The sequence below is a fragment of the Homo sapiens genome, chromosome 2 (genome assembly GCF_000001405.40).
Source record: "Homo sapiens chromosome 2, GRCh38.p14 Primary Assembly".
NCBI lineage: Eukaryota > Metazoa > Chordata > Mammalia > Primates > Hominidae > Homo > Homo sapiens.
In genome coordinates this window covers 169732588-169757581 of record NC_000002.12, presented here as the reverse complement: position 1 = coordinate 169757581, position 24994 = coordinate 169732588, and the positions used below count along the sequence as shown (strand labels likewise).

Below are 24994 nucleotides of genomic sequence, written 5' to 3'. Positions count from 1 at the left end.
TTAACATCATCCCCCATCCCCAGTCACTGGGCATCTGTATCTGTTCTCTTCATTCACGCCAGCTTAGTCCCAACAGCAGGGAACTTGGCCAACCACAGCTCTAGGTCTGCCCCCATGACTCAAACACCTCCCATTAGGCCCCATCTCCAATCCTGGGGATCAAATTTCAACATGAGGTTTGGAGGGGAAGAATTTCCAAACCATAGCATTCCACCCCTGGCCCCCAAAACTGATGTCCTTCCCACATGTAAAGTACAATCATCCATCTCAACGGTCCCAAATGTCTTAAGTTGTTCCAGTACCAACTCAAATGTCCAAAGTCCAAAATCTCATCTGAGATTCAAGAACAGTTCCTTTCAGCTATGAGCATGTAAAATAAAAAACAAGTTATTTCATTCCAAGATACAATGGTTATACAGGCATTCCCATGTCAAACATTCCCATGTCAAATGGGAGAAATCAGTGAAAAGAAAAGGGTAATAGGCCCCATGCGTGTCCAAAACCCAGCAGGGCAGGCATTAAATCTTAAAACTCCAAAATAATCTCCTCTATGTCCCACAACCTGGGCACACTGGTGGGTCCTGAGGCCTTGAGCAGACCCATCCCTGTGGCTTTTCTGGGTGCAGCCCATGTGGCTGCTCTCATAAGGTGGAGTCAAATGCCAGAGGCTTTTCCAGGCTGAAGGTACACACTGCTGGTGGCTCTATCATTCTGGGGGCTGGAAGGCAGTGGCCCTCCTGCAAATCCACCAGGCATTACTCTCGCAGAGGCTGGCTGTGAAGGGTCTGACTCTGCCGCAGGCTTTTGCTTGGGCACCCAGGCTTTCCAATAAATCCTCTGAAATCTAAGTGGAAGCCACATCTCCATAGCTCTTGCATTCTGTGGGCCTGCAGAATTAATACCACGTGGATATCACCAAGGCTTCCACCTCGTGCCCTCTGGAGCAGCAGCACCAATCTTATCTGGGGTTCCTGGGGTCATTTGAGCCACAGCTGCTACAGCCTGGGAACAGCATCCTGAAGCAGTGAGGAGCAGTGGTGCCCTGGTCCTGTTCCCCAAAACCAATCTGTCCTCCTAATACCCCTAGGCCTGTGATGGGAGGGGTGGCTGCCCAGCGGAAATTTCGATTTGTGAAATGCCTTTGTGGCCTTTTCCCCACTGTCTTGACTATTAGTACCTAGATCCCTTTTTGTCACCCTAAACTCTTTAGCAACCTGTGGCTCCAGCTTGACCCTTGGATTCCTCTCCTGAATATGCTCTTTCCTTCTCTATTACATGACCAGGCTGAGAATTTTCCAATATTTTACACTCTGCTTTTAATGATAAATTCTGCCTTTAAGTCATTCCTTTGCTGCTGCAATTCAACATATGCTGTTAAAAGTAATCATACACTTCTCGATTGCTTTGCTGCTTAGAAATTTCTTCTGTCAATTACACTAGGTCATTACTCTTACGTTTGGTCTTCCACAAAGCCCTAGGGCATGGACACAATGCAGCCAAGTTCTTTGCTGTGCTGTAACATGGGTGATCTCTGCTTCAGTTCCCAGTAAGTTCCTCATTTCCACCTGAGACCTTGTCAAGATGGCCTTTACTGTCTATATTTTTTTTTAATTTTTTTTAATTTTTTAAAAGTCCCCATTTGACATACTGTCTACATTTCTATCAGCATTTTGGTCATAACCAATTAATCAATCTGTAAGAAGTTCCAACCTCTTAGAATTTCCAATCTCTAAATTCCTCATCTTTTTGTCTTCTTGTAACCAGGGGCCTCGGTGTTAAAAATCACCCACTTTCTTTTTCTTCCTTCCCTCTCTAGACACTCCCTTTCAGCACAATGTATGCTTATCTAATTAGGCTCTTGCTTGAGAAATCCCAGAGGCTAACCTTGAAACAAATCAGGGACAGAGCCCTCATTGAGGAATTCTCCCATTTGGAGGGAGTAACCAACAATTAGTCCACCATTATCAGGCCAAAGTCAAGATAATGCCAACCAGACGTCTGGACAGGCATTACCCAAGATAACCACTGGAACAAGACACACAGACCCTGTACCCTGCACCTCCACATGTCTCCAAGTTTCCCTTTAAAAATCCTATGGTAAATTTTAAAATGTAAGATGGTACTTTCATTGCAGCACTATTCACAATAGCAAAGACATGGAATCAACCTAAATGCCCATCAGTGATAGACTGGATACAGAAAATGTGGTACATATACGCCATGCAATACTATGCAGCCATAAAAAATGAGATCATGTCCTTTGCAGGGACATGGATGAACCTGGAAGCCATTATCCTCAGCAAACTAATGCAGGAACAAAAAAAGCAAACACCACATGTTCTCAATTTAAGTGGGAGCTGAATGATAAGAACACATGGACACATGGTGGGGGACAACACACTAGGGCCTGTGGGGATGGGGGTTGAGGGGACGGAGAGCATCAGGAAGAACAGCTAATGGGCGCTGGGCTTAATACCTAGGCGATGGAATGATCTGTGCAGCAAACTACCATGGCACACGTTTACCTGTGTAACAAATCTGCACATCCGCACATCTACCCGGGAACTTAAAATAAAAGTTGAAGAAAAAAATAAAGATGGTACTTTCGAATGCTTGTTCACTATGTTCTCAAGTTTGCTGGCTCTCCAATTAAACCTGCTTTTCCTCCCACCAATCCTAGCCTCTAATGTCTGGTGTTTGAGCAGCAGCAGCTGAACCTAAGTCTGGTTACATTCTGAGCCCTCCAAACTCTTCCAACCTCAGCCCATTACCCAGTTCCAAAGCTGCTTTCTCATGTTTAGGTATTGTTAAAGCTATACCCCACTCCTCAGTACCAATTTTCTGTCTTATTCCATTTTGTATTGTTATAAAAGAATACCAGAGACTGATAATTTATTAAGAAAAAAAGGTTTATTTAGGCCGGGTGGGGTGGCTCATGACAGCACGTTAGGAGGCCAAGGCTGATGGATCACGAGGTAAAGAGATTGAGACTATCCTAGCCAACATGGTGAAACCCCGTTTCTACTAAAAATACAAAAATTAGCTGGGCGTGGTGGTGCACATCTGTTAGTCCCAGCTACTCTGGAGGCTGAGGCAGGAGAATCCCTTGAATCGGGGAGGCGGAGGTTGCAGTGAGCCGAGATTGCACCACTGCACTCCAGCCTGGTGACAGAGCGAGACTCCGTCTCAAAAAAAAAAAAAAGAAGAAAGAAAAAAAGGTTTATATAGCTCAAGATTCTGATGGTTGCAAAGTCCAAGATTGGGCATCTGCATCTGATGAGGGCCTCACACCTGCTTCCACTCATGGTGGAAAGCAAAGGGGAGCTTGTGTGTGCAGAGATCACATGGCAAGAAAAGGAAGAGAAAGGAAGGGAGGTGCCAGGCTCTTTTTAACAACCAGCTCTCATTGGAACAGAGAACTCACCCACAAGGGAGGGGGTTAATCTATCCATGAGGGATCTGCCCCCATGACCCAAACACCTCTCATTAGGTCTCACCTCCAACACTGGGGAGCAAATTTCAACATGAGACTTGGAGAGGTCAAACATCCAAACCATAGCATAGTCCAAGTGTAAGTGCCTCATAAAAAAAGAGTTAGGGCATCAGCACAGTCACAGCCTTTGGAAGAACTGCTCTAAGGCAGACAGAAGCCCCAAGCTGTGTCTGCTGTGGCCTAAGAAATGTAAGCCGTATTTATAGTTTCAGACATTTTCAGACTAATAAAACAAGTGTTTTTTGTTGCTTTGCATACGTGAAGGGAGGGAGGATGGAGGGCTGACTGTCTGCTACTGGCTGATCCAGCACCTAAACTGATCATATAAACGGTGATCTCCTCTGCAGTCTGTATTAGTCAGCTTGGGCTACCATAATGGGTGGCAAACAAGCAATTTTTATTCTCACAGTTCTGGAGGCTGGAAGTTTGAGATCAGGGTGCCAATATGGTTGGGTTCTGGTGAGGGCTTGCTTCTGGCTTTCAGACAGCAAGATGTCTTTTCTTATAATGACACTTATGTTAAATCAGGGCCCTATCCTCAGTACCTCATTTAACCTTAATTACTTCCATAAAGGCTGTATCTCCAAATATAGTCACATTGAGAGTTGGGGCTTACAGATATTTATTTATATAAATGTGAAAACATAGGGCAATGTGCCTTTGAGCAAGTACCCTAGATGCTAATCCTCTTTCAGTTCCAGCTAAAACACTGAAAATAAAACCTAAGAGAAATAACAGCTTCTAAAATTTGGATAAACTCATCTTAATTAATCCACGCTTAAAATAATCTCCATGATTTTCACTATTTTGTAAAATAATGTTTGACCTCCCAAAGCAATGGCTTGCATTTGATTTTAGTGAAAGACAAAAATACAAAAATACATACATACATACATATATATATAGATATATATATAGATATATATATATATAGATATATATATATAGATATATATATATAGATATATATATATATAGATATATATATATATATAGATAGATAGATAGATAGATATATTTTTTTTTTTGTAGAGACAAGGTCTCACTCCGTTGCTCAGGATGGAGTACAGTGTGATCATGGCTCTCTGTAACCTGAAACTCCTGGGCTCAAGGGATCCTCCCTACTCAGTCTCCCAAGTAGCTGGAACTACAGGCATGCACCATGCTGGGCTAATTTTTTTTATTTTTTGTACAGATAAGGTCTCCCTATGTTTCCCAGACTGGTCTCGAACTCCTGGCCTCAAGCAATTCTCCCACCCCAGCCTCCCAAAGTACTGGGATTACAGGCGTGGGATTACAGGCTGGGATTACTAAAATGTTTGGCCTTAGTAAAATATTTTTCATCATACCGCAGTGACTTCAAATTTGAAAAAGTTGACAAACCTGTACACCTTTGTAATCCTTTTTGCTGTGCACAAATCCATAGCAAAAATGTTTTCTAACAGAAAACAGGAGCTTTTGACACAAAGTACAGCATTTTAAAAATTCAAAAAGAGGCCAGGTGCAGTGGCTTATGCCTGTAATCCTAGCACTTTGGGACGCCAAGATGGGCGGATCACCTGAGGTCAAGAGTTCAAGACCTGCCTGGCTAACATGGTGAAACCCTCTCTCTACTAAAAATAAAAAAATAAAAATAAAAATAAAAATTCAAAAAACAAACAGAAAATAGGAGCTGAAAATTAAATACCTCAGATCACAAACTATTTTCAAGATCCTTCAAGCACCTCCAGCATGCTTTTCTGTAAAAATAATCCATATCATCGTCCTTGTATGCTGGACGTACATATGAAATACTAGATCTTGAGAAGGCCAATAATAAGATGCGGTCCATAATCTCTAACTTAGCCAAGAGATACACAATTCATATATAAATGACCAATTCTTAAATGTGACAATGGGAGTCTTACTGTGGCTGAAACAGGAAAGACTTTCCAGAGAAGGCCAGACTTGACTCAGGAGTTCATAGGACCTACATAAACTGGCAAAGGAGGGGAAGGTGACTGCAATTGTTCTCACCTATGCCATAAAGTGGATCTCTAAAGCACTACTGAGCAGCATATTAGTTCTAGCATTAATTGCTAAATGTTCTTCAGAGCAATAAAATAGTCTACAATTCAATTACAGATTGAAGTAGTGTATAACTCACTTGTTTTCATTAATTCAGACTATCCTGCAACCCAATCAGCCCAAATTCAAGCAGTCTTACTATGTACAGTGATTTATTTTTATTGAAAATACAAAGTAATATTAAAGAAAAGATTTAAATAAATAAAGTCATTCCATATCCCGCTACACTAACACAATGAATTTGTTTTGCAGATTACCTTCCACATGCATAAAGATTTTACAAAGTCACAATCATAGTATGCATACTATTTTGTATTGTGCTCATTTTACTTACCATATCAAACATGTCCACGTTTCTACAGTCTTCCAAATAATTATTTTAATGGCAGTATAATACTTCACTATTTTTCTTATCCCACTTTCTTGACATGGAGTTTTTTTCCCCAATTTTTGTTATTATAAAGAATGCAGACATAAATGTCTTCATGCATTTATCTTTTTTCTGAATTATTTTTAAGGTTAAAAGTATAGAAGTAGAATTTATGGGGCAAAGGATATGGTCATTTTTACAGCCCTTGCTATGTAGTACCATATTGTGTTTCCAAAGGGTTGTATCTATTTAAAACGCCATCTGAAATAAATGCATTAAAATTTTCCTTCTAAATTTTTTTTAATCAGAAATGCTAGGTAGTTTTAAACTTCAGTGAGTTAAAAATAATTATTGTCTCTTTTTAAAAAATGAAGAGTGTGGAATAGATGGTCTCACAGATAACTAATGGTGTAAAGGAGTTAAGCAACACATCCCAACTATTCCCAAGTTATGGCACACATGGAAAGCGATGCTGTAGGCACACTGAGGAAAATGGACAAAGGTGGTTCTGGCCCAGAGGCTCCAGCCACCCAGGCCACCTTTGGATGTAGCAAGGGGTGAGGGGATCTGTATCTAGGCCTGTCTGTGATTTGCAGTGCCAGTGTGCATGGCTCAGGAAGCTCTAATCAAGGAGAGGTTAAATGACTTAAGTCACAAAATCTAGTTACTGGCAGCTTTGGGAAATAAATGCAAATATCTTCTTGTCAGTGTATTTTCTACTAATCACAACTGCTCTACATGCTTTCTGGCTCTAAAATTCAATCATATATGCAGACATGTATCTATATTTAAGAATAAAGAGGATTTCCTAACATGCTTGAACTAAAGACAACTAAGCTAGCAATTTACATCAAAGCTGAAAATTAAAAACAGTTCTTAGCATAAACAAATATTTGACTATCTTCTATTTTTCAGACTTGCTATTCTTTTAAATTTAGTTTGTAAGCTCTTTGAACAGTAACAATCTTTTGCACAGTATTTTGTATATCTCTGGTAGTCAGTAAATAGAGAGTAACAATAAATTACACTATAAAGGAAAAAACTAGACAAAGTAAATCCACATTCTAAATAATTCTGAAGGTGAAAAAAGTGTTAAGGGTTGATTTTGTAGAGGTAGAGAAGATTCCCTCTTTAAATGTCAAATTCCTGCTAGCTAAATTGATTTTTTTTTTTTTTTGAGACAGGGTCTCGCCAGGTTAGTCTCCAACTTCTAGGCTCAAGTGATCCTCCCGCCTCAGCCTCCCAAAGTGCTGGGATTACAGGCATGAGCCACCATGCCCAGCCAGACATCTTAATATGCACTATCTACTATATTATAGGCTCTTGAGAAACATTTCATTCCACAGAATGGTTCTGATTTATCCCCAGTGTTGATGCTACCAAGAGGAAAAGATTCACTACAAAGGTAGTTCACCTTTTACCAAGTGTCAAATATTCTATATTACCTTTGAAAACCAGAGATTATAGGTATTAATCCCACTGATTCAACTGTGTATATATATACACATATATACGTATATATGTGTATATATATACACACATATATATGTATACACATATATGTATACATACATACGTATATATACACATACATGTATACATACATACTATATATACACATATGTATACATACATACGTATATATACACATATATGTATACATACGTATATATACACATATATATGTATACATATATATGAACACATATATGTGTGTGTGTATATATATATATATATAAGATTTTTCTTGACCATGAATCACCATGTTTGGGAGTACAGTAGGGTTAGGAATTACAATTTACTGATCCCCTATCATGTGCCAGACACAATTATCAGGTAAGGAACTTCAAACCCTGCATTCTTTTTTTATAAAACTATACTCCAAAAAAGTGATTGCTTGGTCATTTCTGCAGATTCAATTAGACATTATACACACAAACACACCCATGAGACCGCATGGCACTGGGAAGATTACCCACTATTTCCCACTTATTAAGATCTGGATCATATTTCTCAATGCTCTGAAGATACGTTCCCTTTGAGTAGGAGTATCCTCCAGTGACATAAATACATCCATTCATGATGACGGCACCGCACTCCATCCTCCTTTCCATCATGGGAGCTATCTCTCTCCATTCATTTTGTTCAGGGTCATAGCATTCTGTGATTGTAGTTTGTCCGCCGACTAGATAGAGCTTATTTTCAAACGGAACTGAGCACAATCCATATTCTTTTAAAAAGAAAAAAAGAAAACAGCATTTTTTTAAAGGATAACAAACAAAAGAGATTCCACAGTGTGGTAATGTAATAATCCTTTAAAATTTAGCACACAAAAAATAGGGAGTGGTGGTATTTTGATTCAGGCACACAATACTGCAACGCTGAGGCTGAAAATCATTCCCTGTCACCTAATTCAGATCGCCTGTTCCTGCCATGCTGCCATTATCCTTCAGCTTGTCCTTAGCTGGCTCTGTAGGAGGCCAGGGAGGAACTCACCCAACAGATCACCTTTCTGGGAATTTCCCAACACAGACAACTTTTACTTGACACCTATCTGTAAAAGATGGTAGCAGTAGAATCCTTATAGAAAGATACCCTCGATAAGCAGTGGTGTCCCTTCAGGTCTTGGCAGCTGTCTCCTTAACCAATGGCAGGCAATCTGGCATGCCTGCTGTCACAGGTGCCACACAGGGTGGCCTTGTGTGCTTCTCACACTGCCAGTCCAGTTATGAACTCAAGAAGCTAAAGAAACGTACCCAGACTCGTGGGGCATGACAGTCTATCATCCTGAGAAGCTGTGAAGGGTGCCCCCAGGCGGAGGGCTGCTGTGTGGGATCCGGGTCCTGGGGCTGGAAGTATGTATATGGGGGGGGGGGGGGGCGGTCCTCCTCCTAGGCTGTTTTAATGTTTTCCATTTTATCTCCCCCTCTACACCCAAACCTGCTGGATCTTCAAAGCACCAGCATATCTCACAACTCTACTTCTCCCTTCTTCCCAGGGCTGTGACAAGAGTGAGGCTAGCGAAGTGCTTAGGGTGCAAAATGCAGGGAGGCAGAACTCTGTGAGTCATTTGCACTGCATGGCCTTACATTTTGTGCCTGAAGCATCTCATTTGCCTCATCCTGGTCTCTGCCCTGTTTTCTTCCACACACCCGCTTTTATCGTCACTCCTAGCCTGTCAGTTCACTCTCTGGGAATATCAGTCATAAAATTACACTTAAAAACCTTTCGCTGGAGCCCCAAAGGAAGAGGAGGATTTGTCAGTGCATTCAAATTAAAGCAAGGAAAGATTTAGCGCACTATCGCTGAGCTGTTCCTTCTGCCTTGAAGTCTCTCCTCTCCCCAGGTCTCTGCACAGCTGCGTCCTTCCTGTCATTCCGGTCTTGTCTTACTCTCACCTCTTCAAAGGGCATTCCCTGACCACCCAGCCTGAAGTGGCCAGGCAGGCGTCTCTACCACATCATCCTATTTTAATTCTCTCCATAGCACTTCTCATTATCTGGAATGTTTCTTTTCTTTTCTTTCCTAGAGACAGGGTCTTGCTCTGTCACCCAGGTTGGAGTGCAATGGCACAATCATAGCTCAATATAGCCTCAAATTCCTGGGCTCAAGTAATCCTCCCATCTCAGCCTCTCAAGAAGCTGGGACTATAGGTACACATCATCACAACTGGCTAATTTTTGTATTTTTGTAGAGATGGGGTCTCCCTTTGTTGCCCAGGCTGGTCTACAACTCCTGGCCTCAAGAGATCCTCCTCTGCCTCAGCCTCTCAAAGTGCAGGGCTTACAGGTGTGAGCCAGGTGTGTTTCTTATCGTCTCTCTCTCCCTCCTGGCAGCACAGGAACTGTGTCCTGCTCACTAACCTATTCCTAATTGGAGAATGGCAACTGTCTGGCACCTTGTGAGAATTCGATAAATATGTGTTGAATAATGAATGAATTGTACTTTGTACGCTTGTGTCCCAATGTGTCCTCACATTATAACGTAGAAGGAAAGCTTATAAGCAAGCCCCTCTTTAGAAAGAATAATACAATCAGAAATGCGATTTCCAGATGAATGTGGTGGTGCACACCTGTAATCCTAGCTACTGGGGAGGCTGAGGCTGGAGGATTGCTTGAGCCCAGGACTTCAAGGCTAGTCTGGGCAACACGGTGAGACCCTGTCTCTTAAAAAAAAAAAAAAAAAAAGTGATTTCCTCTTTAGGAGTGGAAGACAACTTCTTACCAGTAAAGTTCTCCCTCAGTTTTTTTTTTTTTTTTTTTAGAGACAGAGTCTCGCTCTGTCTCCCAGGCTGGAGTGCAGTGGCGCAATCTCGGCTCACTGCAACCTCTGCTTCCCGGGTTCAAGTGATTCTTATGCTTCAGCCACCCAAGTAGCCAAGATTACAGGTGTGCACTGTAGCTGAGATTACGGGTGCGCACCACCATGCCTGGCTAATTTTTGTATTTTTAATAGAGATGGGGTTTTGCCATGTTGCCCAGGTGCTAGTCTTGAACTCCTGGACTCAAATAATGCACTGAGATTACAGGCGTGAGCCACCGTGCCTGGCCCTCCCTAGGTTTTGACAGCTAAGGAAAGTCTTAGAAGATTGCATTTTTGCTTCATTTCCACATATTTTTCTCGTTACTGACATCCAAGAAAATAATTATCCTACTTGTTAAAAACTCATTTTTTACTTTCCAGTTATTTATATGTTGAATTTTTATAGGATTTACTTGTTTCAAGTACTTGTGAAACACTGCTTATATCAATTATATGAATCATTCAACTAATGGTTATTGTGAAAATGATAGTTCAAATATTTTATCAGTTGGTAAAAGTGATTCAACATCACTCACTAGGCTTTTCTTAAATTACTTGAAGTTTATCAAAACACCCCAATTTTTGATTCATATGTTAAGAAAGCCATCTGTCTTCCTATAGCAGTAAAAATATTTAAGTAAAGTGATTCCTAATCATTTTTTCTCTTTTACTCAAATACAACACATGTTCTATTGTTGTGGATAGGAACTTTTTCTTCCTGAGCTGTAATTGCGTTTTTTCTTGTTAGTTAACCCCTCTAAGCCACTGAGGCTCTGGGACTGTGCCTTGCTCACTGTGCTCCTAGCACTGAGTATATAGCAGCATGTAGGATGCACACAGCAGATATGTTAGACATGAATGAGTGAACAAATGAATAATCAAGAATGGGAGTGACACCATCTGTCACGGCTCAAAAGTTTACACAGAAGTATAAAACATCAACACACAGCAGTCTGTATTCAGTGTTAGATGAGTGATATGAACAAACAGCTAGAGGGATTCAGAGAAAACCACAATATCCATTTGAATTGATTTCAATTTTTTTTCCTAAGATCTTTTCTCATTGAAGAGCCTGTAAAGTTTATGTAGTCTAACTTTCTGATTTCACTGGAAGGTAAGGCCCAAGAGCTTAGTCTACTTGCCGATGGCAAGGCAGGTAAATAAATGGCAGGGCCAGGAAAGTTCTCTCCCCACTTCACACAACTCTCCACAGGTCCTCCTTTATCACATACTGCTTCCTCTCGGCTCTTCACACCCTCTTGTTCCTCAGCTTATCCCTCAACTCTGCCCGTTTCCTAGGATTCTGCCCATAGCTGTATTGCTGGTCCCACCCTACCAAGGCATCTTATTCATCCCCATACCCAGAGCCACCATCCAAGCAAACAATCCCCAGATCTCTACATTCAGCTACCTCCCTCCTTCTCAGCTGCAAACCCACATTTCCCTTTGCCTGCTGGACAGCTCTTTTGGGTTATCCAATGATTCCTTTGCTCTAAACTATAAAATCGAGCTCATCATCTCCCCTCTTCTCCCTTCCTGTCAGCTTCTCCTTCAGTATACCTCATTCTCTCAGACAACCGGCCAGAGACCCTGAGACGACTGTCAACTCCTTTCTCTCCTTCATCTCCTGTATGCTGTCAGCCAAGGAAGCAATCAGCTGTTGAATCTATGACATTCCTCACATCGGCCCCTCTTTTCTACTCCTACCACTTCTTCAGGCTTTCAGCATTTCTCCCTTGGTTAAACACAATAGTGTTAGTAGATCCCCTTGCTGTCTTTCTCCCAATCTACCTAAAAGGAGTTCTCTTCCTTTTTTTTTTTTTTTTTTTTTTTTTTGAGACGGAGTCTCACTCTGTCACCCAGGCTGGAGTGCAGGGGCACGATCTTCAGCTCACTGCAAGCTCTGCCTCCCGGGTTCACACCATTCTCCTGGCTCAGCCTCCCGAGTAGCTAGGACTACAGGTGCCCGCCACCATGCCCAGCTAATTTTTTTGTATTTTTAGTAGAGATGGGGTTTCACCATGTTAGCCAGGATGGTCTCGATCTCCTGACCTCATGATCCGCCCACCTTGGCCTCCCAAAGTGCAGGGATTACAGGCGTGAGCCACCGCGCCCAGCCAAGAGTTCTCTTCTTAAAACCAGAGCTGGGCCAGGTGCAGTGGCCCAGTGCTTTGGGAGGCTGAGGCGGGTGGATGACTTTAGGCCAGGAGTTCAAGACCAGCCTGGCCAACATAGTGAAACCCCGTCTCTACTAAAAAAAAATACAAAAATTAGCCAGGCGTGGTGGTGCATGCCTGTAATCCCAGCTACCTGGGAGGCTGAGACACAAGAATCGCTGAACCCAAGATTGTGCCACTGCACTCCAGCCTAAGCAACAGAGCGAGACTGTCTTTAAAAAAAAAAAAACAAAAAACAAAAACCTAGAGCTGATCACACATCATTCTCTTGCTCGAAAACCTTTATGATTCTGCATTTTAAAAATTACCCAGACTGAGCTGGTTGTGGTGGCTCAAGCCTGTAATCCCAGCACTTTGGGAGGCTGAGGAAGGTGAATCACAAGGTCAGGAGTTTGAGACCAGCCTGGCTAACACGGTGAAACCCCATCTCTACTAAAAATATGAAAAATTAGCCGGGCAAAGTAGCAGCGCCTGTAATCTCAGCTACTTGGGACGTTGAGGCAGGAGAATACCTTGAACCTGGGATGCGGATGTTGCGGTTAGCCGAGATCACACCACTGCACTCCAGCCTGGGCAACACAGCAAGACTCCATCTCAAAAAAAAAAAAAATTACCCAGACTGCCATTCAAAGCTCTCCATGACATGCTCTCCAACTGAACTCTCCCATCCGATCTCCCATTCTACCCTCTTACATTCCATTCATTCATGTCTGCTCCCAGGTAATGGAATACACCTGAAACTTTCCTTTCCACCTTCCTCCACTGGGCTGACTTCTTGCCAGAAAAACCCTTCCTCAAAAACTACCTTCCTTATTTGGGGCCATTCTTTAAGGCCCAGCTCATAACCACCTACCGTTGGAAGCATTCTAAGATAGTCAGATTTCCCTTAATTAGACTTACACTCTTTTTATTCTCAATTTCAATAGCACTTGTTTTTACAGAACTTAGCAGAGACTGTCCTGTATTTCCATTATGTATGTATATTTGCTCCTGGATTCTGAGCTCCTACGGCAGTAAAGACTAACACTTAATCATCTTACATAATTATCAGAATCCTACCTTTTCCAATGTAGGGTCTCAATAAATGTCACCTTGAATTCAATGCAACTATAGTCCCATGTTTTCCAATTACACAAACTACCCCATTAAAGGGGTTAAGATAAAATATAATACTTATATTATCTTTAAAAAATAATAGTAGTCATTTCTTCTCAGTGTAAGCAATGTATCTCTATGAAGTCAACTCAAGGATGACATTTTAATTCCTCAGGAGGTACTGCTAAAATCCTTAAGAAACAAACCTTGCTATAATTCAGTGGATGCAGATGCACAGCCTTCAAGAGCTTAAGGATTTAACAGACTAGCTGAGCAAAGCCAGCTGGGAGCAAGAAAAACAACGGCACAGGCCCCCTAGGTCAGTGACGTGAGGAGAATTGGAAGGACTGTGGTGAAACGGAGCACACAAGCCTCATTTAGGGGAACAGCTACCCCCTGGCTCCCGTGACTGCTGCCTAGAAGGAATACATCCAAGGCTGCTAGGTCTTCCCTTTTCTTTTAAAGGACAGAAATAATGATTTTTACTTGAAATTCTCTTAAATTTTAAATATTGGTAACAAGCCAGTTCAAAAATATTTTAAGGACTGTGAAAGCTAAACAGAACACATCATGCAAGGTACTGATTTAAAATCTGTTTTTTATGTTTCATCAGGAAAAAGTTCAATGTAAATCAAAACTACATGTGGATGCATATTATGTTACCATTGATTTATATTATAATTTAACATTTATTTTGGATTTTCAATTTGCCATGACTTATTAATACTTTGGATTAAGTCCAAAGTGACACTGTCTCTCAGACTCTTTTTCATGTAGTTAATAAGCTATATGAAATCTGTTATGGAAAACTTATTTTTGAGGGAAACTCTTAATGACATATACATTAAATTTATAATATAAATAACTGCCCTCTAATTTGTGAATTCTGACTTTTCATGTATCGGATTTTCTTTGTAAAGATAAGCTTATCCACAAAATAGGCAGAGTAACATCTAACTTCTAAGGGTAACATGAGGTTCAGGTGAGATAATAGTGAAGTTCAAGCCAGTCTGTCTAGGTTTGAACCTCAGTTCTAATAAGCACTAGCTGGCTAACCTTGGGCAATTTATATAATCTCTTTGACCCTCAGTGTCCTATAAAATGTGATAAAAACAGTACCTAGCTCATGGAATTATTTTGAGGTTTAAACAGATTATACATGTAAAATTACTGGAATAGTTTGTGCCTGCCACACACTGACTGAATAAATGCTAGCTATTTCTCACTGTGAGTTGTTACTATTCCTTTCCATTATAACTTCACTGATCACAGCAGAAAGTGGTGGGGAGTCTGGGATGGTCCATTTGGGCTACTAGGAGGGAGAAGTTTACCCATTCCATGGTGTCTTTGCAGCCAGGGAAGCCTGGGGCTAAAGTTCCTTCTCATGCAAAGCCTGGGCATATGGAGATGCAGCACCAGATTTAGGTGTGCTTCAGATTAACCATCATATGGGATAGATGATGTATGGGCTGGAAGTAGCTGCCTTGGTTGAAAGCAGGAGAGTCTGCTCCCTGAAGGAGAGACAGATTGTTTAGTGGCTACAGCACAAGTTATGGAATCAGACTGTCAGATTTTGAACCCTGGTCTACCACTTTCAAACTGTGAAACTGTGACCTTGGAAAAGTTACTTATTGTTTCTAAGCCTCCATTTCCAAATATGTAAAATGGTGACAAACAATACCTGCTCACAGACTTGTAGTGAGAATCTGAGGTAATACACATATGAAGTGCTTAGCCAGTGCCTGATCTATGGTAAGTATTACTAGTCCTCTCAGATGGTTCCAGCTTGTGAATTTCCACTACCCCCTCCACTGACCCACATGGAAGCCTGATGCTCTATGGAAAATGATTCAAGGTAACATGGTGGTACGATGATATGAATCTTTCCTAATGAAAACAACTTAAACCTATGGCATAACTGAAACAGACTAAAACTTGTGCTTCCCTCTGAGCTCTTCACAAAGACACAAGTCAAAGAACAGAAGACATCCAAGAAGGTAGGCCATTCCTTATGGGCAGACAGCATGTTCCCTGTATGAGTGTTAAGGTAAGGCCAACATATGGCTCTGCACATTGTAGGAGTGAGTGCTTAATAGTAAGTGAAACCTAGAAAGAACATGCTTCTAAAACAGGAAACAATTTCTAGCTGAACTTCAATCACTGGGTACCCTTTCTGACTATTTGATAGAATGGTGCTTTTCAACTACTTATGAACATTGTATTTTATATAATTAATGTCATAAATGAAAGATGGCATATAAAGGAAAAAAATTTTAAAGACGCTAATATTTTTGACCACACAGACTTACAATGTGCATTGTATAAAGACATCAGGGAAAATATTTGTAGATGTGACCCAATCAGAATCTCATTGTGATTATTGTTAGATGGACATATATGAATATTTTGAGACTTTTAATTCTACCCATGTGTAGTCTACAATAAAATCAGCATTTTCTATTTCCAGTCCATTTTTAGCCATCCTTTATGCTACTAAACTACATCACAACATACACTATTTGAGACAGTATTTTTGTTACCTGGATGTGGACTGGAGGTGATGAGGCTCCATTCGTTGATATCGGAATTGTAGCTCTGAACTTTGTCATAGGTGCAGCTTCCTCTGTAGCCACAGTGGCCACCAATGACGTAGATAACATCATGTAAGACACAGGCAGTAGCATTTCCCACACCTACGTATTAATTAAAATCACATCTTTAGATTGATCTTTTGTTCTTTTTTGCAGTGAACCCTGGGCTAAATTTATTGTTGTTTTTGTTATTACTGATGGTAAAATGCAAGGTACTGTGCTAAGTGCTATAAGGGACAAAAGAATAAAAAAGGAAGGCTCTTTGTGCTCTTAAGAGAGGGTGAGACGTGCACACAAACACAGCCATGCACCACGCACAATGATCTCCATAAAATTATAATGGAGTGGAAAATGTCCTATCACCTAGTGATACTGTGGTAGCTGTTTTAAAGACATGGCATAAAGCATTCTCATGTGTTTCTGGTGATGCTGTTGTAAATAAATCTACGCCTCTGGCAGGTCCTTCAAGAGGTATTCCAGAAGAAGGCATTATTATCATAGGAGAGGATAGCTCTATGCCTGTTATTGCCCTTGAAAGCCTGCAAGTGGGACAAGATGTGGAGGTGGAAGACAGTGATATTGATGACTCTGACATTGATGATCCTGACCCTGTATAGGCCTCAGCTAATGTGTATGTCTGTGTCTTACTTTTTTAACAAAAAAGTTTAACGAGTAAAAAAATCAATAAATAAGTTATATATATATATATATATATATATAATATAAAAAAGCTTATAGAGGCCGGGCGCAGTGGCTCACGCCTGTAATCCCAGCACTTTGGGAGGTCAAGGTGGGTGGATCACGAGGTCAGGAGATTGAGACCATCCTGGCTAACACGGTGAAACCCCGTCTCTACTAAAAATACAAAAAATTAGCAGGACGTGGTGGTGGGCGCCTGTAGTCCTAGCTACTCGGGAGGCTGAGGCAGGAGAATGGCGTGAACCCAGGAGACTGAGCTTGCAGTGAGCCAAGACAGTGCCACTGCACTCCAGCCTGGGTGACAGAGCGAGACTCCGTCTCAAAAAAAAAAAAAGCTTATAGAATAAGGATAAAAAGAAAGTATTTTTATAAGCTATATAAAGTCTACAGTAATGCCTGTAATTCCAGAAGTTTAGGAGGCTGAGGCAGGGGATCACTTGAGCCCAGGAGGAGTTTGAGACCAGCTTGGACTACAAAGTGAGACCACATCTCTACAAAAAATAAAAAAGTAGCCACGTGTGATAGCATGTGCCTGTAGTCCCAGCTACTCGGGAGGCTGAGGTGGGAGGATTGCTTGATCTCAGGAGGTCAAGGCTGCAGTGAGCTATGTTTACATCACCGCAGTCCAGCGTACGTGTCAGAGCAAGACCCTGTCTCAAAAAAAGTAAAAAGTCTACAGTAGTGTACAGTAATGTCCTAGGCCTTCACAATCCCTCCCCACTTACTCACCGACTCAACCAGAACAACTTCCAGTCCTGCAAGCTCCATTCATGGTAAGTGCCCCAAATAGGTCTACCATTTTTATCTTTTATGCTGTATTTTTACTGTACTGTTTCTATGTTTAGATACACAAAGACTTACCATTGTGTTATACTGCTTAGAATATTCAGTATAGTAACATGCTGTACAGGTCTGAAGCCTAGGAGTAACAGGCTATACCACACAGCCTAGGTGTGTATTAGGCTGTAGAATTAGTATGGTATAGCCTGTTGTTTAAGTATAACGTTCACATGACAAAATTGCCTAATCACACATTTCTCAGAACATATCCCCATTGTTAAGTGGCACATGGCTGTAATTAGAACACTAGATATAAAATGGAAGAAACACCATGAAAAAAGGGACAGATGAACTGCTGGGCATGGTCAGGGCAAGAAAACACTGCATTTGACGAGGGAAATCACAGCAGGTGGTGGTGGAATTTGACCTGGGTGATGGTAGGAAGTTGGCAAGTATAGATGAGAGGAGGCCATTCTAGACAGAGGGAAAAGCCAGTGCAAAGGCTTACTGGACAATGTTAAGTAGCCCAGTTTGACCAGGGCAGGTGGCACATTGAGGGTTGTTGCATGGGACTTTAAGGCTGGCATGGTAAGTTGAAGCCATGTAGCAAAGGATACTTACTGATGCCCAACAAAGAATCTGGATTTAATTCAGCCAGATTTTAAAGGTTTTTAAACAGAGGAATAGAGCAACTAACAAAGGAAGAACAGGTACCAGAAAGATCTAGTTACTGGCCAGGGTGGGCGGTCTCGAGGGCCTGATTTTGAAGGGGCTTTGGGTATGGAGGGAAGAGCATAGAGGAAAGAGACAGGTAAAACACACAGGTCTTGATGACTGACTGACGCAGAGGCAAACCAAACCGATTTTGAGGTCCTGAGCTGGAAAAACTGGAATCACTGATGCCAAAACAAGGAGGGGTGGGGGAAGTCGAGGAGGGGAAGGAGAGGGAGGGGAAGGAGGAGGAGGAAGAAGAAGGCAGAAGGAGGGAGAGGAGATGGGGGAGGGGAAGGGGAGGAGGGGGAGGGGGAGGGGAAGGGGGAGGAGAGGGAGGAGGGGGAGGAGAGGGAAGGAGGAGGAAGAAAGAGGAAGATAGGCGAAACATGAAAGGGAGATAGGGAGGAGAGGGAGGGGAAGGGGGAAGAGAGGGGAGGGTGAGGAAGGGGAGGGGGAGGAGGGGGAGGAAATAGGTTTGGAGGGAAGATGAAGAAAGGAAGAAAGATGATGAGGATCATTTTAGTTGAAAACGTTGGTTTTGTCTTTCCACTAACTTTTACCTAGCACCATTTTGCATGATACAGTTCAATCTTCTTGTTCCTTTCTATTCCAAAATAAAAGTGGATTTATAAGTAGAGCAGTTATGATGGAAAAAAATAAAGATTCAGGAGTTCCTAAACAGCCAAGTATTTATTTATTCTCTGTACATTAGTGAACTTAATTTGGGTCCAGGACCAAAAAAAGGTAATAAATTTTAAATTTGACTGTACCCAAATTAAGTTTATTACCAGAGAAAGCTGCTATTTCACTTCAAGGCTACAAAATAAAACGAATTGAAAAAAATGTTATCCTTTCTACCAAAAAATGGGAATCTAAAAGTTCAGTATGGCTGGGTGTGGTGGTTCACACCTATAATCCCCGCACTTTGGGAGGCCAAGGTAGGAGAATCATTTGAGGCCAGGGGTTCAAGACCAGCCTGGGCAACATAGTGAGACCCCCCGCCATTTCTAGTTTTAAAAATTAAAAATAAAATTTTAAAAATTGTTTAAAAAAAGTTCTGTATGAGTCCACCCACCAAAACAAGCAGTAGTCAAAACTGCACATAACTGGCAGTGTTACCTCTCCCTGGGATGACTAGATATAAACAAGAATCAAAGCTTTGAGTTCAAAGTATAAAACTGGAATTTCAGACCCAGTTAGCAGGTGAGGGAGGACTTTGAGGTATGAGGGTCTCCTACTCCACTCAAGGTTAACGCAAGCATGCATATGGCTTTTGTTTCACAGTAGATACACCATCGCAGCATATCTTTTTTCAACAAGCACTGTTCTAAATATAAATTTTTAAAATTTCAGTAAAGTAATAAGCTTTCATTCTCAAAGAAATATACTCTGAACCCACCCTTGTAATCCCAGCACTTTGGGAGGCCAAGGTGGGGGGATCACTTGAGGTCAGGAGTTCAAGACCAGCCTGGCCAACATGGTGAAACCCCGTCTCTACTAAAAATACAAAAATTACCTAGGTGTGGTGGCACATGCCTGTAATCCCAGCTACTCAGGAGGCTGAGGCAGGAGAACTGCTTGAACCCGGGAGGCAGAGGTTGCAGTGAGCCAAGATCACGCCACTGCATTCCAGCCTGGGAGACAGAGTGAGACTCCATCTCAAAAAAAAAAAAAGAAAAAGAAAAAGAAATATACTCTGAACCACAAAACCATTGAAACTGTTATATCATCCTTAAAAAACAGAATCAGAAATGTATGCTAGTTTACAATAGCTCCTTAAATATATGGACTTTTCTTATTTCTTTTGCAGAAGAGGGGTCAGGACATTCAGAGCCCTCCTGGAATCGGCAAGTAGTGGTGAGACTCAGGCAAAGACAAAAACCAGGGGAGCAACAGCACCGGGCTTTCTGCTACCTTCTCCCACCCTGGTGTGACAGTGGTCACAACTTCACATGAAATCAATTTCTGCTCTATAAGAGCTGACATGTCCTTCAATACCGACATTCAGGACAATCATGCGTAACATTTATAGCATGCTTACTCTGTGTCAGACACTGTTCTAGGCACTTCACAAGCATAGATTAATTTAATCCTCTCAATGATCCGAGACTAGGTAATATTGTCATCCCCATTATACAGATGACAAAACGGGGGCACAGGGTGATTAAACAATTTGCCAGAGCTCATCAGCAAGTAAGAGGAAAGCAGGGATCTGGATGCAGGCAGTTTAGCTTCAGAGGCAGCGTGCCTGATCCCAAGACTGTTCTGCCTCTCAGCTTCCTGCCTGTCATCCAAGGATCATACCAGGTCAGATTTCCAGACCAGGTCAAATTCCCACACTCTCACTAGCATTAAAAAAGAAACAGAAAAGCCTGGGAAGAAACATTTGGGACAAAATGATACAAATTTGGTAACGACCTACCAGTTGTTTTTGTACAACTCCTCAGCACCAATGAATAAATACAATGAAATAAGATTCCCGTTTAACTTTTTTTCCAGTGGGAGAGAAGGAGAGCAAGGCAAACAAATCGCCAAACACAGCAGAAAATAGTGTTTATCAGACAGATACCGAGACCCAGGGGTGTGCCGGGTTCTGTGGGCCACATGAGGGAGAGTATGGTGTCTGCCCCTCTCAGAGAGGACTGAATTGCAAAAGCAGACGTTGTCTCTAGTTCCTGGAAGAATGTACTTTGTTACATCCTGTAGGGACCAAACCTTCCAAGGTTTTAATGAAGGACCTCTTGAGAGCTGATCAGCGTATTTTGAGAGGAAAAAGTTGAATAGCAGAATTTTAAAGGGTTCAATTTTAAGAACATGAAAAAATGAAAAACTGTCCAGATTTGTCTCTTCATCTAGCCCTTGACTTGAATATAAATTCTCATAACTCTCAGACAAGTTGGGAACTATGCTATACTGTTTTTATCTGGAACATTCTGTGTAGCATTATTTGTATAATTAACTATAGTTCCTAGATAGCATCCCAAAGTGATAAATTCAAGAGAAGTGAGACTGCTGGCCTAGCTCCAGACATCTAAAAAATACAAAATAAACATAATCTCCACTTACCTTTAATCATGTTTGCAATAGGAATCCATTTCTCTTTTAAAGGATCATAGAACTCAGCCTCTTCTGCTGGAGCCCCTTTTCTGTAACCACCTAAAGCATAGACACAGCCACCCAAGGTGACTGCACAGTGGTAATACCTGGCATTGAGCATTGGCAAACCTTCTGTCCATTCATCACTTTCACTGTTATAGATCCACACTGTGTCAAGAGCTTCTATGTTATCCGTCCTGTAGCCCCCAGTTACATAAATGTTGGGTCCTAAACATGTAACACCATAGCTCTCCCTGGTATAATCTGGTATTTCTGCTCCCTGAATCCAAACATTTGTCAAAGGATCCCATATGTGAACCTCTGATAAAGGATGCCAGTAATAGCCTCCAATTATATACATTGTGGCTGTGGACCTCTGGGAAATCTCTTTATGCATGGGATTCAAGGCATTGTATATTAGGGAGCGGATCTTATTTTCGGTGAGCAGGCAGCTTCTTTGAAGGCCTAAGGCTGTTTTTAAGTACACTGGATCTATATCAATGTTGATATAGCTCAGTAGATTATAGAGGCATTCAATTCGATTTTCTACATCATGAGCAGTCCACTTAATAACTGGCTCTATGATAGCTTCTTCTTTCCAAACACTGAGATTCTTTCTGGACAAGATAAAGAGAAACTTTTCAAGGCTGATTTCCAGAAATTCTTCTTGTTGCCACACTTCCTTAAACTTTGAACATAGAATTCTTCGAGATTCCTTCTCTAGTTCTGGACACACATGAAATTCTGCAAAGGAGTGCATTCCAATACAATTATCAATATCCAAGTGCCTTACCAAAAACCGCTCACAAGCCTTCTTTACTGAAAGGAACTGTAGCAGATCCGCTGCCTCAAGCAGGCTTTGAACATTTCTTTTAGTTATTTCAATTTGGGAAGTGTATGCATAATTTACAAGGCCTTCCAGAATATCATGGTGGATGCCAGAGAGTTTTATTTTATTTTTAAATTTTTCTTTCATGTCAGCTGTGAACATTGCCTTAAAATAATTGCTGCAAGCAGCTAAAACGGCTCGGTGACAATGGAAAATTATGCCTGAAGGACACTGAAGAGTAATATCAGTAAATAATCCATCCAAGTAAAATGTTCTGAATGCATCCAGAAAATCCACTGGATGTGTTGAATCCTTGAAAAGATAAATATAATCTTCTTGTCCTTTTAGAGCCATGGCTGCAATAAATATGAAATAACAAATGTGTTTTCAATGTTGCACATTCTCTCAAATAATCAACGCTAAATAACTTGACTATCATCGGATATACTCCAAAACTGGACTAAGTTCAGCATCTAAATAATAAATGCAAAATGTGGATGGACTGTTTGATCATTTATATGGTGGTCAATTTAAATTCAGGGTAGCTCGGAGCTTGAAATGAGGCTCCTGGATTTTTCAGTAGTCCTTTTGAGAGTACTGATTTGCTATTCCATTCACCGCAATCTACCCTGGCCTGGCGTTCGGAGATGAGATCCCACACTAGGCAAGGCAAGTGTCCGAGGGTCACCCCACTCGAGGCCGGACCTCAGCTGTCTCGGCTCGGCCCCAATTCAACCTTTTCCCCAAGCTCGTCTCCCTTTCAAATCACATCGAAATGCCAAGAAAGGGATGATGGAAATATAAATGGACAAGAAGAGGTCTCGGAAAAGGGAAATCCCGAGCCCTTTCGCTTAAGGAAGGAGAGAAAGGAAGGCAGCTCGGCGCAGCCCTTGCAGCCCTCGCCCCCTCCCCCGCGCCCGCCGCAGGGGTTTCCGCGCGCCCCGCGCCTGGGCCCCGGCCCACGTTCCCGCCCGGAGACCGCCCCGCCCCGGGGCCAGGAGCGGGGCTGGACTCGAGGGCGCCGCGTGCCGCCCGCGGGCCCGGTGCCCGCGTCCCTCTGCCCGGCGCTCCGCGCAGGTGTGGGAAGGACGCCGCAGGCAGCCCCAGCGCAACGCGTTCGGCCCGGCCCGGCGCCCGCGCGGCCATTGTCTGCGCTCCTCTCCCGCGCGGCCTCGCTGCCCGCGCCCGGCCCCGCTGCCCGCGCCCGGCCCCGCTCCCCGCGCCCGGCCCCGCTCGCTCCCAGCAGGCCGGCCTCGGGCTGCGGGTCCACACCGCACCTACCTCCCGCCGGGGCTCGGGACGCGGCGCTGGCCCGCGGGCTAGTAGCGAGCGGGAGCGGGGACGCCTCCGGCCCCTCTGACCATCTTTGGAAGAGGCGCTCGGAAGCCGCCAGCTAGTGCCGCTCCACCCCACAAGCAGCTCCTATTTTGGTGTCCCGGCGGCTCCCCCGCCTCCACCCGAACAGCCCCCCGCACGGTCTGGGCGCGAGGCCACTCGCGGGAACTCCCCCGTCGCCGGGCCGTGCGGCGAGCGGGGCGGGGCGTGCAGGCGTGAGCACGGCTCGGCCCCTCCCCAGCGGCGCCCCCCACAGCAGGTGGGACTGCTTCCCCAGGAGACAGCGCGCGCCGCCGCCTTCCCCTTCCTTGGCTCGCTCTCTGTCCCGCGCGCTCTCTCACACCCGGTCGAGCGTCTTCTCTTAGATAAACTCTGAGTCCTGAATTATTAATAACACCATATATGAGTGTGTGTGTGTGTGTGTGTGTGTGCGCGCGCGCGCGTGTGCATGTGTGTACACTCCCCTCCCTCAGTAGGCTTCGCCAGCCCAGACTCAATCGTGAGGACAGAGAAGGGGGAAAGAGTGGAGAGAATGGGGCACAACTAAAGGTCAGGGATTGGAGGCGCCGTTGAAATGCCAGAAGTAGCCGGCCTTTCCCACAAACGCCATCCCACCCCCAGCAAAGCACTCAGGAGGGCGCCTTGGTGCTGGTGAGCACATCAGGGGTTAAGCTGAAGCTTTGAGAGAAACTTTGGGCAGCCGGGGCCAAGGCGAAGTCCAGGCGAAGTCCAGTCGTGCTAAGATTCAGGTTATTGTATTTAGAGCATAGCAGCTGGAAGGAGCAGCCTTTCTGGTGACGGCCACTCTAGTCACAGATGTCTATGTGGTACACAAAGTTCATTTTCTTGTTCCAACTAAAGCCAGTATCAAATATTTTTGTATATCATTCATTCATTCATTCGCAAGATTTTATTAAGTGCTTCTAGTGCCTGATAGGGATAGACACTAGTAGTGATAAGAGTGTTGACAGATGGTCCCTAGCTCACAGGGACCTTCACCACCACCAGAGGACCATGTGTTTCCCAGAGTATGGTCTCAGAAACGCAATATACATGAATGGCCAGATAGTATGTGACAACAGAACTCTGAACCACATAAGAAGCCCAGGAAGCCAGACCACAACCTTGGTAGCAGCTGAACCAGAACAGTCAGGAAGTAGTCAACGACTGGCAATTTCCCTATTTTTTTTCTTTTTTGAGACAGGGTCTTGCTATGTTGCCCAGCCTGGAATGTAGTCGCACGATCTTAGCTCACTGCAGCCTCGATCTCCTGGTCTCAAGAGATCCTCTGCCTCAACCTCCCAAGTACCTACGACTACAGATGTGCAATTTTTGAAAAATTTTAAATATTTTTTCATGACAGGGTCTCACTATGTTGCCCAGGCTGGTCTCAAACTCCTGGACTCAAGCGATCTTCCTGCCTGGGACTTCCAAAGTGCAACTTCC

At 43.0% G+C, this 24994-nt stretch overlaps 2 protein-coding genes across 3 annotated transcripts in view, besides 3 other annotated features; both read right to left on the bottom strand.

The window, feature by feature from the left end:
* Positions 1-5703: 5703 nt before the first annotated feature.
* KLHL23 (kelch like family member 23) lies at positions 5704-23750 on the bottom strand. The gene is made up of 4 exons (NM_144711.6): positions 23495-23750; positions 21355-22569; positions 16045-16197; positions 5704-8160 (listed from the first exon to the last, which is right to left on the bottom strand). Exons 2-4 carry the CDS (start codon positions 22565-22567, stop codon positions 7850-7852), a joined length of 1677 nt encoding a protein of 558 aa, NP_653312.2. The 5' UTR covers positions 22568-22569; positions 23495-23750; the 3' UTR covers positions 5704-7849.
* PHOSPHO2-KLHL23 (PHOSPHO2-KLHL23 readthrough) overlaps positions 5704-24994 on the bottom strand; it is a 57410-nt gene continuing 38119 nt past the window's right edge. Inside the window, exons 4-6 of one of the 2 annotated variants that reach the window (NM_001199290.3) lie at positions 21355-22569; positions 16045-16197; positions 5704-8160 (exon numbers count right to left, since the gene is read on the bottom strand). In NM_001199290.3, the coding sequence (NP_001186219.1) occupies positions 7850-8160; positions 16045-16197; positions 21355-22567 (1677 nt within the window). In that variant the 5' untranslated portion in view covers positions 22568-22569 and the 3' untranslated portion in view covers positions 5704-7849. The remainder of the gene's footprint in view (positions 8161-16044; positions 16198-21354; positions 22570-24994) is intronic. The other variant, NR_144936.2, reaches the window with a different exon arrangement.
* Positions 23060-23239: a silencer, noted in NCBI's record as "silent region_12085". NCBI's record gives its function as "represses an Ori minimal core promoter by ATAC-STARR-seq in GM12878 lymphoblastoid cells {active_cell/tissue: GM12878}" and the evidence as "EXISTENCE:reporter gene assay evidence [ECO:0000049][PMID:35858748]".
* Positions 23350-23419: a silencer, noted in NCBI's record as "silent region_12084". NCBI's record gives its function as "represses an Ori minimal core promoter by ATAC-STARR-seq in GM12878 lymphoblastoid cells {active_cell/tissue: GM12878}" and the evidence as "EXISTENCE:reporter gene assay evidence [ECO:0000049][PMID:35858748]".
* Positions 23440-23879: a silencer, noted in NCBI's record as "silent region_12083". NCBI's record gives its function as "represses an Ori minimal core promoter by ATAC-STARR-seq in GM12878 lymphoblastoid cells {active_cell/tissue: GM12878}" and the evidence as "EXISTENCE:reporter gene assay evidence [ECO:0000049][PMID:35858748]".

What these genes read in the sequence shown, in the direction of transcription:
- KLHL23 (NM_144711.6), bottom strand. Translation starts at nt 22,567, where the DNA reads ATGGCTCTAAAAGGACAAGAAGATTATATTTATCTTTTCAAGGATTCA. An exon ending in TATTGCAAACATGATTAAAG is followed by an intron (nt 16,198 to 21,354) that starts GTAAGTGGAGAT and finishes ATTAATACGTAG; the next exon opens with GTGTGGGAAATGCTACTGCC. An exon ending in CACCTCCAGTCCACATCCAG is followed by an intron (nt 8,161 to 16,044) that starts GTAACAAAAATA and finishes TCTTTTTAAAAG; the next exon opens with AATATGGATTGTGCTCAGTT.